Source organism: Homo sapiens, chromosome 1, assembly GCF_000001405.40.
Source record: "Homo sapiens chromosome 1, GRCh38.p14 Primary Assembly".
Classification (NCBI taxonomy): domain Eukaryota; kingdom Metazoa; phylum Chordata; class Mammalia; order Primates; family Hominidae; genus Homo; species Homo sapiens.
Window position 1 is genome coordinate 83,488,614 of NC_000001.11, and position 17,176 is coordinate 83,505,789.

General features: G+C 36.4%; 1 annotated feature.

Moving 5' to 3' along the window:
- Positions 9,053-9,102: an enhancer, noted in NCBI's record as "active region_1243". NCBI's record gives its function as "activates an Ori minimal core promoter by ATAC-STARR-seq in GM12878 lymphoblastoid cells {active_cell/tissue: GM12878}" and the evidence as "EXISTENCE:reporter gene assay evidence [ECO:0000049][PMID:35858748]".

Genomic DNA, 17,176 nt, shown 5'->3' on the forward strand with positions numbered 1-17,176 from the left:
TTGGGGTTGTTAGCTCTGTCCTTCTTACTCTACTTAAGCTAATATCCTAAATCCTTGTGCACTAATATCCTCTTTATATCCCACTTCCTCTCCAAAATATATCCTCTTTCCCTGCTCCTATTCTTGTAGGAGTAATTCCAGAAGGCCCTGACCATCGCTCCCCTTTTAGGGAGGAATTGCTCCCTAAAAGTCCAAGGTGGTTTTCTGGCTACAAATGTATTCTCTAATGGGATAGTCTACATGAAACAACAGAAAACAAAATTAAATGTGTCAATTGATGTAACTTGATAAACCTTAATATCAACATATTTGCTACCAAAGGATGTGGAAAAAGGGGCAGGTGGAGATTAACCAGTGATTAGGAAACAAAATTCTGAGTCAGAACCTGGTCTTCTGTTTCAAACTTTATCCCTTCATCATAAAATACATGCATGTTTCTAGATAAAGCAACCCTTTACTCTTTTCCAAAAGGGGAAAAATATCTCTGTGAGTGTCTATTCCTAAATTCTAACAAGTGTCATCTTAGAAAACAAACAAAAAAAATTAGAAAATTGCTGAACAATCCTGCTAGCTGCTATTCAGTTATGAAGATCATAGTCATTCTGTTCGTGAGATACTCTAGAGATGTTATTCAGAGGCTGCTTAGGAGAAAAAAAAGAAAAATGTAAACTGTTAGATCTCAGTTAAATAACTGAGTTTATTGCAATTTAAGCTAATAGTTATTCAGTATTCAGTCAACTATTTGGTGCAAACAAATAAATATTCTTCCACTTGTTAGTCCCTAGGGGCTTTCTTAATCCTATCTGAATTTACTTTCTGTGAATTTCTGAGTAATCAGAAGTTATAGGTTGGATACATCTTGTGCTAGGGACACCCATGGTGTAACTGCTTCATTTTTTCTTTTCATTTCAAAGGAAATGGTCCATCCAAAGTGAAAATTGTTGTGTTTTTTTTTTTTTTTTTGGTGGTAGAGTATATTTTCCTCTTTGTTGGTGTTATTATTGTTGCTGTTGTTTTAATCAGATAGTTATTTCAAACAGAAGCAATCAAGTTCCTTTTTTCATTGCCATCTCCCTCTACCCCTCCTACTCAATCCATGCTGTTAAGAAAATATCCTTGTTAGTAATGTGATTCATCTATTTTGTGTGTATGCAGCTGAAGCAGCTGGGAAGACCATCATAAAGAAATCTTTTCAGATGGTCTATATAGAGCTAAACTATCATTAGCAGTATGACAATATCTCAAGGTTACAGGTATTTGCTGAGGTCTAACATGTCTTTTGAAGAAAAGAGGAAAAATTGATACTCATCAGGGATGAAGAAAGACAATACTTAGTTCGAAGCTCCACAATCTGAAAGTGTGCTATGCATCTCCATCTGGCCTTATAATTGCAGCTATATTCAACCTCTCCTCTTCTCATCCATGCATTAGATGGAGACAAGTCTTTGCTCTGCACATAAACAAAAAATGCACTCCCTCCTGCCCAAATAGCACGTAAAATTTCCACTGTGATAGACATGATCCTGTGTTTTCAGATGGATGACTACCATGTTCACATGCTACCACTCAATAACATGCTTTGGCTTACAGATTGAATTCTCTCACTCCATCGGGAGTAAAACTGTGAGGGAATGGGATACAGGACAATAAAGTATGACTACAGAAAAGACAAACAAGATAAAAAAAAAAGGGGGACACTATCTAGAGAAGTCAGATCAAAAACTAGAGTGAACAAAGTAGTATGAAGGTAGAAAATTGTCATGGACTTCTTCAAATCTGCACTGAAAATATTCACTCAAATGCTATTTGTAGTGTCTCCTTTCTATACAAAGGATAGATGGTAAACAGCAGTTGTTCCTCATGGTAACTAAAACAATTTACTGAAAACCAGCTGTCCAATTAAATATTGCATTAAATGAGTCACAGCCAAATAAATTACAAGGAAAGAGGGTGCTATGTTATGTTTTCTTCAATATGGTAGAAAATTTCCTGCTTTAAATCAAAGTCAATGCAGTTGAACGAACTATTATTATATCTTATTTATAGATATTCCTTCTTTCTCTTGCTTTGTCCAAGTGGAAAATTAGCTCTAAATGGAGGAAAACAGAGAGGAGATATTATGTTATCTTCCTCAGTACTTCTACTTTAGTTGAGAACAATCAGAGAAGAAATGATTGTTGAAATATAGTCAAATATTTCATGGGTAGTTTAAATTTGTCAAAAGTTGTAACTTATGATTTTCTGTTCAACTTTTCTCTAGCCCACATATCCAGAACTCATTATGACAGTATTAACTAACCAGACTTAAAGTTCCTAAATGCACTTAAATTTGAGAAGATAAGCAATTTGTCACAAAGGACACTACCAGGTAACTGAGGACACAACCTAGGTACACAAAAGCCAATCAAAACTAATTAATTTAAAAGTACAAGAGCCCTAGAAAAAAAAATAGTAGGTTTTGAAATGTAGGACTCTTTAAGTCAAACCTCTCACAATGGTAAAACCCCCTGAAGAAAGAATTTAGTCAAGTGATGTTTAGCTGTCATAACTGGTGTATAGTATGTGGGTGGGGGTAGGGGTATGTGTGTATAAGAGAAAGCATGAAAAAGTGGTATTTGAGTGCCTGTGATATGTTAGGGACTGAGGCTCCAGAACATAATGCTAAATAAGCCAGTAAGAAAGCACAGTTCAGTGGCAGAGAAGACTTCAACCCACTGTCAAGAGATCTGATGACCTTAGGCCTTGCAACCTTATTGACTTAAATAGCCACCCTCTCCTGTCCTTCCAAACACCTAAGCTGCTTGAAAATCCTAACCTAATGTTCTTACACATGGTTACTCTCCAACCCCATCCCTCCTTCACCTTAATTAATTCATTATTTCCTCCCATTAATTCTCTTTGCCTGACAAATTCTCCACTTGCCTTTTGGGACATAGCTTTAAAACGACAGTCTTTGGGAGGTCTTCCCTTGCCTTTCTAGGCAGGTGGGCCCTTCCTTCTCTGTGGTCTGGTTCAGTAGATATGAACATTCCTCTGTTTGATGGTCTTTTTCCCCCCTGGACCAGAAACTTCTAAAAGACAGAGATTATGATCTATTTATCTTAGCACCCCCAGCACATAGCACAGCTTCTGGAACAAAATACATAGTATCAGGAGTTTAGAGAATAAATCAATGACAGTAAGAACAAACTCCAAGCAAAATAAGTAATAACATCTCTCCAAATGCTGAGAGTTTTATAGAAAAAAAAATATAAAATCATGTGAAAATTCCTTGAGTATGTAAAACCCCAGGCAAACCTTTAACAGGCAAGTGTTTATTGTGCGCCAACATATACTAAGCACACAATGTGTGGTATTGGACAAAGCCAAGGTTATGTGGCTTGTGCTTCCTGTAAGTTTGTTAAAAGTCTTTCCATAAAATAAAATAATCCTGTCTCTTTCATTTTAAATATGTTTCCCAGGAGCCTTCAGGTTCCCTGGAATTTCTATTAATAATTCCATTTATCCCAGTAATACAATATGTGTCAAACATCACAGTGTCTATGAGAGATTAATAACCTAAGTTTTTCTTGACATGAGAGAAGATTGATGGGAAAAAAATCTCTGGAAAGAGATTTGATGCCAAATTAAGACTTCAAGGTGAATTGATAACAGCATTTTAAGAACTGGCGTGTTGTCCTATAAAGTTTCTTTTAGGTACCACATCCAGTTCATCAGGTGCCCTGGATTCAACTTTGTGTCTCCGGGGCCTCAGCACTTGAATTCTAATTGGGCTCCTGTACTCTTTCCTCATGTGGACAAAACCTGTCTTGCTTCCAACTCTTTAGGCTTTTAAATATGCTCCTTTTTCCTACGTTTGCTTATTCTTCTGTTAGTTGGGTTGTGAGATATACTTTTTTCTAACATACCTTCTAATTGCATTCCAGTTACTTTTCTCAGACTACTTTGAGTACATCTCCAGGGTAGGACCCTCTGCCCTCAGGATTTCTTTCACTCAATCAGGACCAGACAACTTGTGTAATGTAATATGTGGCATCATCCTAGTGTCCACAGCTTTGAACCCAGTGCCTGGCATGTCGTGGGCACACAATAAATATATAATAAATACATTAATTATGTATTTATAGCTTACATTGTTACTGTCACATTGGACCAGAGACAGTAGGACATTAATGAAATGGGGTTTTATTTCCAAGATAAGGAACATTAAAAAAAAGGAAAGCCAGAAATGAAGTACTAGAGCAAGTCAATAAGGTAGTGAGGAGCAAGAAAATGAAAAGAAAAAAAAAAAAAACAGTAAAGATGAGGTAGCGGTAGATTTGGGGGAAAGATAAAGAAGCTTAAGTTTCAGGTCCCCTCATTTGCACAGGCCCCTTCCAAGGCCCTGTGCCTAATTTTATGTTTAGGACTTAATATTTTATTTATTAAAGAGAATGCTACAAATTATATATTCTTAAAGCCTCACAAAAATGGGATCTTCCCCAGATAAAAGACAAAAATAGAAATAATTATGCATGTTGTCACTCAGCAAACATTTATCTAATATTAGATCCTTTTCAGGCCACTGGAGACCCAAGGTCAAATAAGAAAGTCTATCAAGCATATTATTTATTAACAATTTTATTCATATGTCATACTGGCATATTACTTTAAAATGTGCAAAGTACCCATACCTCATCAGCTGATCCTCACTAAAAATCAATGTCTGGATCTTCACCAAAATATAACTGAGAAGGTATTAGTCTCATTGTACAGATGAGGAACCTGAAGCATAGAAAGAAATCATTTAGACAGAATAATCCACCCCCCAGCCCCCTTAACATGCCCAGGCCCTAAGCCCCAAAACCCCAAAACCCATGAATGTTATCTTACATGGAAAAGGGGATTTTGCATATTTGATCAAGATTATGGACCTTGAGATGGGGAGATTATTCTGGATTTTCTAGGTGGGTCAATTCCAATCATGAGTTCCTAAAAGTGAAGAACATTTTCCAGCTAAGGAGGGTTAGAGAGATGAAATGGAGAGAAAAAGATGATCTACATAACAAATGTACTTCTTTAATGCATTGATAGAATTCTGAAAAAGAAAGGGAAACCCCTAAAATAAAATTAATGAATGAAGGTTCTTTAAAAACAAACAAACAAACTCTAGAACAGTGAGCTGAAACCAAACGCTGATTAGGAATGTTAAACCCAGAGTTACCCTTGGCATAAATGCAAGCCACAACGAAATCCAGAACAAACCTGAAACTCATCCACTGAGCCAGGATAGTTGAAGGAAAATAAGTGGACCCATATCTGTACTGCCCTACTAATATAGCCAAATACATTTCTAAAAAATACTTCTAAACATTTGTTTGAAGTTTTAGTGAAACTTCAAACAAAAACCAAGAGAACATCTTAAAAGCTGCCAGAGAAAAAAAGACAGATCTGTACAAAAGAAAAGAAACATAATTAGTGGAAAACTGATGTCTCAAAAGCCATAATGGGAAACAAAAGGCAGTTTAATGACATCTTCATGGTGCTGAAACATAACTCTCAACTCAGAACTGTGTACAACAAAATTATCCCTCAAGAGCAAAAAGAAAAATAAAGACATTTTTGACAAACAAAAATTGAGAGTTTATAAAAAAATAGAATTTCATTAAAATAACCCCTAAAAACTTCACAGTCCTTCAAGTGGCAGGAAAATGACTCCAGAAAGAAGATCCAAAACTGAAAGAGGATATAAGCAAAACTCTGGTAAGCATGTAACAAATCTTTAAAAAATTATGCTTATACTCAATTAAAATATGAATAATGTCCAGTTTATGTGATTGGAAAAAAAAGAGATCTACAATATTGAGAATTTTTCATCATATAAAGTAAGAAACTGTTGACTGAAATTAAAGTGTACTAAATTCTGTATTGTCTTACTCCATTTGGGCTATTATAACAAAAATACTATAAACTGGGTAGCTTATGAACAGAAATGTATTTCTCACTGTTCTGGAGGCTGGGAAGTCCATGATTAAGGCATAAACAGATGTGATGTCTGGTTAGGGCTTGCCTTCTCATAGATGGGGCCTTCTTGTGTCCTCCTATGGTGGAAGGGCAGAGAAGTTTCTTTGGACCTATTTTACAAGGGCACTACACCCGTTCATGAATGCTCTACTCTCCTGACTTAATCACACCCCAAAGCCCCCACTTCTTAATACTATCACTGTGGGGGTGAAGGTTTTAACATTTAAATTTTCAGAAAATGCAAACATTCAGATCATAGCACATATTATTCAAGTTGATATCAAGTTATTAACTTAAGATCTTTCAAGTTTTAGGTGTGCATGGTAAAACTTCAAAGGTTAGCCATAAAATAATAGAAAGGGGGTTTATAACTTCCAAATATGTGAGAGAAGAAATAAAATGAAAACAAGCAAAAAGAATCTATAAAAACAAAAGCGAGAAATACAAAAGAAGAAAACAGGAAATGGGGGGCAAAGAATAAGTGAACTGAAATGGCAGAAATAATTTAAAAGAAATACAGGGATTATCAGTTTGGATTTTTTAAAACTTTAAAAAATAATCCGCCCATAAACTATAGAGACATACCTAGCACATAAGGACACAAATAAGCAGAGTTAAAAAATACAAGTCATATACCAACCAAACGAGAGCTGGGGTAGCTATAGCAGTGTTTTTAAACACTCTTCTGGAGAACACATGGCTCAAAGAATAAATCAAATGGATTTTTAAAAATACATAGAACTGAGAGACAAGGAAAACATTACACATTAAATCTTCTGTGAAACAATAAAAGCAATATTTAGTGGAAATTTCTAGCATTGAATTATATCACCAGTGAGTGAAAATGAATTATTTAAGAGTCTAACTTTACAATTTGAGAGGGGAGGAGGAATAAAATAAAACCAAGGAAAGTAGATTGGATAGTATAATAAAGAGGAGAAATTTTAACGAACTAAAATAGAAAACAAAGATAACAGAGAATCAGCAAAGCCAAACCTGGTTATTTGAAGAAAAATAATAAACCAGACAAAACTTTGGAGACAGTTTAAAGAAAAAAGACAGGTGGAGAAGGCACAGATGAACAATATCACGAATGGGATAGGAACACAGCCGCCACGCGCAGGAAATTCTGCTGATGCTTTGCCGGCATCCACTACCAGCCACGGCCATGAGTGAGCCTCACAGTTTTACTCTCCTTTGTGTTACATGGCCCACTGTTACTTAGGTGAAGTCATGGGAATTCAATAAACTATTTAAGTTCTCTGTCGTAGGACTGAGAGAAAGAAGGAGAAGATGTTTGAGAATAAATATTTCGAGAATGAAACCAGTATGGCAGATAAGAAGTTGGATGCACACGGCCATGAAAATTCATTTCACCTAACTGCACAAGAACCCTAACTTGTGACCCTGCTCAGCCCTATTGTTTAGACAGAGGCCATGCTACTTCCTCCAGGAAGACTCCCTTAAGGACACCTACCAGTTAACTCCCCCACCCCCAGTTCTGACTTGGCCTCTTCCCTTTCTCCCGTCATGAAACCCAAATTGTTCCCTCCCACAGTATTTATGACATAAGGATTATAAACTGTCTTTCTAGTCACCTGTATCCCCCAGCAGATGGCCATTTCCATTAAGACTGTATTTTCGTCATCATTGTACTCTCCACAGTTGGCACCTGGCATATACTAGGTAGTCAGTAAATACGTGTCACATGACTATGTATGAACCCAAAAGTCAGAGATGGAAATGGCCACTACTTAATCCTGCAGCAAAAGAGCATTTCAGGGTGTGGTCAAGGAAAGATATGAGTTGCAAAAATATGTCATCAAATCCTTGCAGGGATGAATCTGAATCCAAGTACCTTGCTGAGTCTGAGGTCAATGTCAATAGAAGAGGAGAAAAGCACAAAGCTAAGTGCTAGATGGGAACTTGGGAGTCCGAATCTATCATCCTCATTGCCCAGTCGCTTGGGTCAAGGGTGATTTTAGAGGAACAGACACCCTCTGACCATCTGAAAAGCACAGTTCTATGAGCCCAGCATTGACAAGAGGCTGCATGATGGGTTTGATTTAAGATTTATTTGGTAGAGGATGCCCTTTTACCAGTTGACATACACACTATGAAACAGTATTTTTTCTTTACCTTAATGGTCTGTGCACAGAGAAGTTTCATGATGAAATAGGTTAATGGGTATAGAAACTCCTGAGGAAGCAAGCAGTAGCTTCTTTCCACCTCTTTTCATCCCACCTGTCTGAGACAGGCATTGTATAAAATTAGAGTATTTCTTTATGTGGAAAGCTCCCCTTTGCACAGGATATGTGAATCCAAATATTTTGAGCTATGCCCTGGAATGATTACATAAAATGCATAATTATAAAGGAATTTAATCTTCATGTAGCCAGGAAACATGGTACACATGCTTATGTCATTTTTTTTAAAGAGTATGTTCCAATCTTCGTAGTAAGTAAAATAAACTAATTCCTCCTCATTTTTCCAGGGCACCTTCTGCAGTCTGTAAGAAGCAGGCTTCCTAGCCAGAGACAGTGTAATTTGCGAGGTTAATTTGGTTGGGGCTGTAATGATATTTGTGCACTGAAAAATGCTATTTATATATCTGTGCAAGAAGGAAGTGGACAACACAGATGACATAGGGTTGACATGAAGCTGTCCTTTGCTGATGTGTACGAATGTTACATAAGTCCTTTCTCCTGAGAGTGGCAGCTTCCCAGTCAGTGTTGAAGACTCACTGTGTTTGTTGACATGGAATTACTGGATACTGAGATTCAACTCTTCTGGTTGTTGAAAATAATGGATTTCAATGGTAAATTCAATCTGACTTTTTCTTTTTATCCTCCTACTCTATTGATGCATTGGACCAAATGAATGGGTTATACTGATGCCTTATAAACACAGTATATATAAGTTTCAAAATAATGAAGGGCCTGGAGACTGCTTATTCTCAGTGCAGATGTAAAATAAGAGGGAATTAATTTGCCTTCTAATGTGAGACTCACTCTACTCCCTTCGTGCAGAGCAATGCAATGCAGATGGGAAAGGTGGTTTCAGAGAAGAGGAATTATTTGACCCAGATGGGAAGGGACACCTAAGAAGTCATAAGAAGACCTACAGCCTCTTCTGACTCTGATGCAGTAATGCCTCCTGCTGCTGGCCAAAAAGTGTAGTGTAGCTCTAACAAAAGCAAGGTCCAGACATTTTTTAGCTTTAAGTGTCTGGACTTAAAAAGCTGTGATTTTGCATTTCTGTTGCTGCCTTGTGCTACTATATGCTTGTACTATAAAGATAAAAATAACATGTCACAGAATCTCTGTAAATTGAACTGCACAGTGGCAGAAAGGTGGCTACTGGGACATAGGAAGAATAAATGATCTTAGTTTATTTATTAAAAATATGTACAGCCATGTGGAAAACTTACCTTTCTTTTTACCCCAGTGGGATTTTTCATCTAAGGTTCACTTGCTACATGAGAGAGGCACTTTAAACTTCATCTTTTATAAAACTCAGCTACTTCCCTCACATATTACCATTTTGAACATTTTTTTTGAGACAATAGATGGTGTTGACTTGTAATAAGACAACAGCTTTTGGCTCTGAACTAGACATTTTTTCCCCAATTTAAGCATCTTCTTGTTACCAGTGGCCTCCATCTCAAACATGCTCATTACCTTGAATGTACTGTGGCATGGAGTATATCACAATACCGAGATTACCTCTCTTTGCCGTTAAAAAAAAATTGCCTTCAGAAACCAGAATGATCAACAATTTCATATTTTAGCAACTCAGCACAAGGTGGTCCTGTCCCAGTGCCAAAATAAAAGCCTTGTAAAGCATTTAAGAAGTTTATTCTTCCCAAGACATAAAAACATAACCCACCTTAGCATTAATTTGAGTTGTGCATGCACAGTGAATGAAAGGTAGACCTCCCCTAAGTGAATAAATCTCTCTGAAAAGGAAGGGGTGGATGTTGGCTTGCCTAAATACATACACTGTACATAAAAATATAAAACATGCATGCATGCAGTTTTAGGCAGGTGTAAGTATAATTGAGTGGTGGCCAAGATTCTGAATAAGAGGTGTATGATGTGTAAAGAACATATGGTAACGTGTGAAAAATGTAAGCCTATATATGGAAGACCTGACCTATGTGTTTATGATGTGCTCAAAAAGTCATTTATTTCCATTTCAATAGCTTTTTTTATTGATAAGTCCCTTGTGACAAGGGTTTGCAAAAGGGAAGCTAAGTAATGAGTAAGTTCTATATTGAGTGAAACCTACTAAATTTCATCATAGGTGGATATATTGAGAGCCACTAATAAACTTTTAAATTTAGTATTAGTATTGCAAAGCTATTAACAGTATGTAACATCTTACCAATAAATTTATTCATCTTTCAAGATTTGGACCCAGTTTAGGTATAGTTTTATTTCCTATAGATTAAGTTACAAGTCATTTCAAACTGCAGCCCAAGTATCCACCCAGCCCATTCATTTCCTATGAGCATGTTGAGTCCTCATATCTATTGTGTCCATCCTCCTTAACAAGAACCTTAATTCATGCTTCTGAAAATCCATCAAGACAAGTTGTCTGCCATGTTGCATAATCGATCTGTGGTTGGAAGCCTGCTTATCACTATAATCTACATAGAGGATGCATGAAAGAGTTAAAGTACTAAATCAGTGAGCTAAACCCTGCCCCAAGGACAGAGGAGACATAAACGGTGAACCTAAAATAAGACCTAAAGAAAAGTGATTTAGAGGAATTGAGGAGAGCCCTTTAAACCGAAATCCATCCAAGAAAATTCTACTTTTGTTCTTATAATCAGAAAGAAATATTAATTCCACCTACTACAAGGAAGGCATCCAGAAACATTTACAAAATGCACAGGGGAGTTGGGATCCCCGAACATAAAATTTTATAGTAACAAAATGGGAAAGAAAAAAATAAGTAATAATACAAACTGAGTTGCTAAAGTGAAACTGCTAAGAAAAATTACAGATAGTGAAAAGGGAAGCTCTAGGCTAGAACCTTCAAAAATATCAATGTGGCATCAAACTAGGCAGAGAAGTATTCCACAAAGCAGAATGAGAAGGAAAATCCAAAGGAAACCCAGGAAAACATGTGGTCATGGATTCAAGGCAAGAAAATGTTTCAAGAGGAGAGGAGTCAAGGATCAAATGACACCCAAAAGTCATGGGCGACAAGGATGGAGAAGAGTTCACTGGACTTAGTAATAAGGGGAGCAAAGGAGGAAGATCCTGGAAAAAAACAGCAACAGAAAGGGAGGTGAAGAAGGGAAAACTGAGTAAAAATGTTCAGCTCTGAAGGAGAGTAAAGAGATACAGAGAGTTGGAGGAGAGTTCCATTATTTATTTGTTTGTTTGTCATTATAAGGATGGAAGAACCATAAGCAAGTTTTAGTGTTGATGTTTTGGAATCGGTAGAGATTAGAGAATGTTTATGTTAGAAAAGAATAGAAAAAGGAAACGGTGAGTTAGGGGTGTTCATAGTCATTAGTTTGGGGAACTGAGACAGTTCTCCTTCATGATTTCTGTTTTCTGTGTAGTGTAAAAGGCAAAGTCATTTCTCAAAAGTGGGGAAAGATGACAAGGTCAGAAGTCTGGGCAGACTAGAGAAGTCCTGAAATCACTGCTGAGGAGAGGGCGAGGGAGATGATTAGGGGAGGCTTAAAGGAACAGCTTAGCTGGGATGAACATCCACCAAGCCTGGACTAAATGAGATCATGTTTTCAAGTCTTCTAGCCTCATATTGGGCATAGAATGTGTGCCCAGTAAAGATGAGTCTCTGCTGTCACTTTTATCATTTGAAATCTTTGGACAAATTTGTTACATCTATAACATTAGACAAATTTTCAGACACAATAGCTCAGCAACAATTTTTTAAAATCTCTGTTGAATTACTCCCAATGTGAGCTTTGAGTATACCAGATTGAAGGAGAAAATGGTTTGTACAAAATTATTTTAAGAAGATAAATGGGAGAAAGGGTCTCCCATATTTACAGAAAACAATCACAATCATTTCCCAGCACTCTTATGAGATGTTAACAGATAGTCTGTTTCTGTTTCGAGCTTTTGTGCCCTCAGCAGCCCTGCTTCAATTTGTGTGTTCTCAGCCATCTGCCTCCTGTCTTTCTCCCATTACTACAGAAAAGGGCTAGAAAATTTCTATTTTGAAAAAGAAACATTTCTTTTATCTCATGTTTATATGTCATATTTATATAGCATATTTAATATCTCACATTTGTAGAATCATATTTATCAGTGCAAACTTAGCACTATTTGATTATCCCTGAAAACAATAATTAAGTTTAGTCAATAATCTTTTTAAGGGCCAGTGTGTTAACTGTCAAGACTGCCTAACAGAATTTGAAAGAAGGTACCCTAAGTGGCCTTTAGCAGTAATTACCTTGTCTTAGGCTGTGTCCTGAGAGCATAGGCACAAGGTGTTTTCCCATTACTCATTACTTACATTCCCCTATCGCATAACCATATCTCAGTCCCCTTTCACCTTCTGTTGTTTGTCTTTCTCTTTGACCCTTTTCATCAGTGCCAAAGGCTGAGCTGTATTGGCAGAGAAGTTTGTGACAGTCACAAAATAGCTCTCCAAAGGTTAAATAAAGTAACATGGCATAAGAACAGAAGAGGAAGAAAGAGTTATGTCATTGATCTTTCTGTTTTGCCATTTGTTAGGTACCATGTCATATTTTAAGGCTGGATAGAGTGTTTGATGAGGACTTTGATTTTTACTTAGAGTGAAATGAGATACCACTGAGTAGAGAAGCAACACTATTGCTGGCAGAGAATAGTGCCAGAGACAAGACTGTAAGCAAGAAGAACAGCAGCACTGCAATAATTCAGAGAGGGGATGCTGGCTTCACCCAGGGTGATGGTAGTAGAAATGGCAAGAAATGGTCTAATTCTGACATATTTTGAAAGTAAAGCCAAAAGGTTTTGTTGGTGGATTTAATGGGGGTATGAGAAAAAAAAAATAACATTGAAGGGTGAATGTATTTGGACCTGAGAGCTCAGCAATGGGGAGTTGCAATTCACTTAATAAAGAAAACACAGTGGGAGAAGCGCTTTTGCAAGGAAGATCAGGAGTTTGATTTGCAGCAGGTTCTGTTGAGACGGCCATTAGACAACCTAATGGAAAGTTGAGTTGGCAGCTGGATGGATATGTCACAGTTCAAGGGAGAAGTCCAGGCCCAGAATATAAATTTGAGAATAATGAGAAAATAAACAGTACTTAAAGCCATAAGACCAGATGAGTTTACACTGAAGTGAGTGCAACTAGAGAAGGGTTCTGGAGACTATACACTAGTGCATTTCAGCCTTTAAATATTGGGATGGTAATGAAGAATTAACAAAGGAGACTGAGAAGGAAATATTAGAAAAACAGGAGAAAACAAGAAGCTTGTGAGGAATTTAAGTAACTTACTAGTTAATGTAGTATTTGGGAACCAAGCTCAGCAGTCTGGCTACAGGATAGGGTAGTCAGTAGTCTATCTGAAATTAATAGAGATAGTTATACAAAGCAAGAGACAAATAGCTGTCCTTCAGATCAATGCAAGGGCTTTGCAGATTCTAAAAAAGCAAAGAGATTCTGAATTTTTCTCTAATAGATTAGTAATCTTAGCATCTATTTCTAATTAATTTCCTGATGAAGAACATAAATATGTGTGGGTACGAAATGGAGTTACTGGGTATTGGCACTGGCTTTGCCATAAATTTTTGTGAAAAAAATCCTAAAGGTGAGGAAGCACTATTTCTAAAAGAATAATGGTTTCTTTGCCAGATTGAACAAAGACAGACCCATTTTAGTAGCCACTGAAAGGTCTTTGTCTTTTTTTGTTTTTGTTTTGATTTTATTTTTGTACATTAAACATAGATCTCAAAAGCTGGATTTCTTTCCAAAATATCATATGGAGCACTTGCTTTGTATCATTTTGTCTGGGAGAGAGGAGAGGAAACTTCCAACTTCTTGTTTTTCATTATTGCTTCACTGACTCATCTAGTCTTCTTTGAAGAACAACAACAAAAAAAAGAACAGAACAAGAAAACAGCTGAAGCCATGCAAGAGGGAAAAAAAGGAAAAAGAAATCTATATTAATAAAAATAACCACATTCTGCCCAAGTGCTAAGCACTGGAATAATAAAATAAGCATAATTCCATTTCTGGTTGGTTGCTTTTTCCTCTTCTTAACTTGAACAAGTCATGAAATTATGTCATTAAGTGGGGATATCTGCCTCTTAAAAATAACTTGGAGATCATTTTACATGAGTGTGTTTACTGGACTACATCAAGAGATTTGTTGAAATTGCTTTCAAAGTGAAGACAAAATAATTTAGATTTATAAGAGTAAACAGAAATAAATTTTTTAATGGAAGGGAGAGGGGGCAGCATAATGTCTCCCAAGCCATCACCCAATCAGCTAAGCATGAAGAAACTGGGAATTCAAACTTTATGTTTTCTGAAAACAATGTTTAAATAAGCCATTTGAATATCCTCAAAGCATAAAAAAAAGTGTATCCTTTTTTTAAACCATGCCCCTGGGGACTTACATCTCGACTTTCTGATATGGAAATAAAAATAGGTAATCTGTGTTTTTAAAAGTTTATGAAATTATTTCATCTTTGTTACTATAAACACCTAAGATATTTATTCACTGATTCAGATGACAGTCATTTTCCTAGAATGACACTGAAATTTATTTGTGGCTATTGCTCGAGTAACATGCTCAATAACTCGGTAACACTTCATTTCTCTTGATGTGTAAAAAGTTTTCTTACCAGATGAGATCACCCTTTCAACTATTTTCTATTTGTGATAATCCCCAATGCCCTTTCAGTAAAAGTCCTTTCTTAAAATCCTACAATTATATTATAAATTTTTTATCAGATGATTCAACAGGAGGGCTTCTACAAGCCAGCCTGCAGAATGTGCTCAATAACCAGTGGATTGCACAGTTCATGGACCCCAGATTGCTTTCATGCCTAGAAGAAGAGTGCTCACCAGAGGAGTAATGTAGGTGAAATTCTCCCTTAAAGATTATCACATGGGGTTTATCCAGTTGTGGATTAATAGTATTCAACCAACATGGGCTTGATGTTGGGCAACATTTCAAAATGGAGATCTACCAGTAAATGAAATAGTCTCCCAAGGGAACTAATGAGAGTCTAATTGCTTTCCTCATTTAAAACAGGGCCAGACAAAGCCTTTCTGGAAAGAGCCATGATGTTATGCCAAGGTGATGGACGGCACAACTCATGAGGTCTCTTCCATCTGTAATTTTAAGACATGAAAAATAAAGAAACACATTAAAATTAATGCATTTTAGCACATATCCATCTATCACCCCCAAATAATTCATAGCTGAAAGAAAGAGACAAATAACAATTTTTGAAATCTATCACTAATCATAAGAAAGTACTACTCATCAGAAATACTCTTTTAAGAATAGCCACCATCTAACTCACGGCACCTTTGATTAATATTTGGGTGGACTGCCTGAAAGCCAACCTCACAGCTGGCATACCCTCCAAGACTCTATTTAATAACGTAGCTAGTGTTCGTTCAAAAGAAAATAAAAATCATTTCAGCTTTTCACAAGCTCTCTGCCACTGTGGTCATTTCACTTTTTGTTATCATAGCAATATTTCACACAAAACAAAACTCAGATGTTGTTGGATGTAAAATATGTTCAGTGGTTCTCTAAGTGTGGTCTAGCAACCCGAGGGTCCCAAGATGCTTTCAGTATGTCCATGAGGTCAAAACTATTTTCATAAAGACACTAAAACATTATTTGCATTTTCACCCTCATTCTCTAATAATAGGCTACATGATATATTCACAACTATCAGAGAACATATCTAGGTAGATAAAGATATTTATTAAAATACATATCTGTATGAGGCCTGAATTTCTTCATTTGTTTAACCAAAACAACAAATTGCAATAAATTAAATACAGAGGCATATATGAGAATCCGTTCTTTTCCTATTAAGCCAAACAGTAAAGACATTTGCAAAACTGTAAAAGAATACCACTGTGCTCACTTTTTCTGAAAACATATTTTTATTAAAATATGCTATTTAACATGTGATAGTTTATTATCTTAACAAAATAAAAGAGATATGTCTACATTTTAATTTTCAGTACAGTAAATGTCAATAGCTGTATCTCACAGAAAAATCTTCCGTTTTTTAATAATGTTGAAGAATATAATGAAGTTTTAAAACCAACAAGTTTAACAACCATTGACTTAGGAATTTTATAATTTTTAGATTGATTTTATATTATCTAGATAGTAAGTACTGTTATATGTCTGTTTCTCATTTTTTAAGCACAATTTTTAGAATTTTGTCTTTATTTAGCGGCTCCACGTTCTTACCTCCCAATCTTTCTTTAACTTAGTCAAATAGGGATTTTATTCCTCAAAATTCTCCCAAACTACTCTTACCAGGAAATCTATGACCTCCATTCTATCCATGTAGAGATCAATTCTCACTCCTAATCTTAATCACTCTACTAGTCAAGGATTGACCCCTCCTTCTTTATTTACTCATCCTCTAGTTCACCACAGCCTCGGGGTCTTTCTCCTGCCTCCTCCTCCTTCCAGAGCCATTTTATTTGCAGTACTGTCTCCCTTCTCTTTCTGACTGTGGTTTACTTTACATTGCTTCAGGGCTCAGTCTTTGGTCCACTTCTCTATTCTCTATCCTAGCTAAACCCAGGACCTCAACAACTATCTTCATTCAATAACTGTAAGTGTTTCTATTTCCAACCATTCTAAACTCTCAGCTCTACCACCTGCAAGACATTGTCATTTAAATATCTAAAAGGCATCTCAAATCTAAGATGCTTCCAAAAGAACTTTTTATTCTGCCCATCATCCAAATTTGCTCCCTCCTTTTCCCCACTTCATCAAATGACACCACAGCTTTCCCTAACGCTTAAGCCAAAAACCTAGATGTTACTGAGACATCTTCTCTTTCTGTTAGGCCCCACATTCGATTCATTAACAAGTTCTGTGGCCTCTACCTTAAGAATATATCCCAATCTAAAAATATCTTACCAACTCTATATTATTGTCATGCTCCAATCCACTTTTTTCTTTCCTGGACTACTCTAGTAGCCTCCT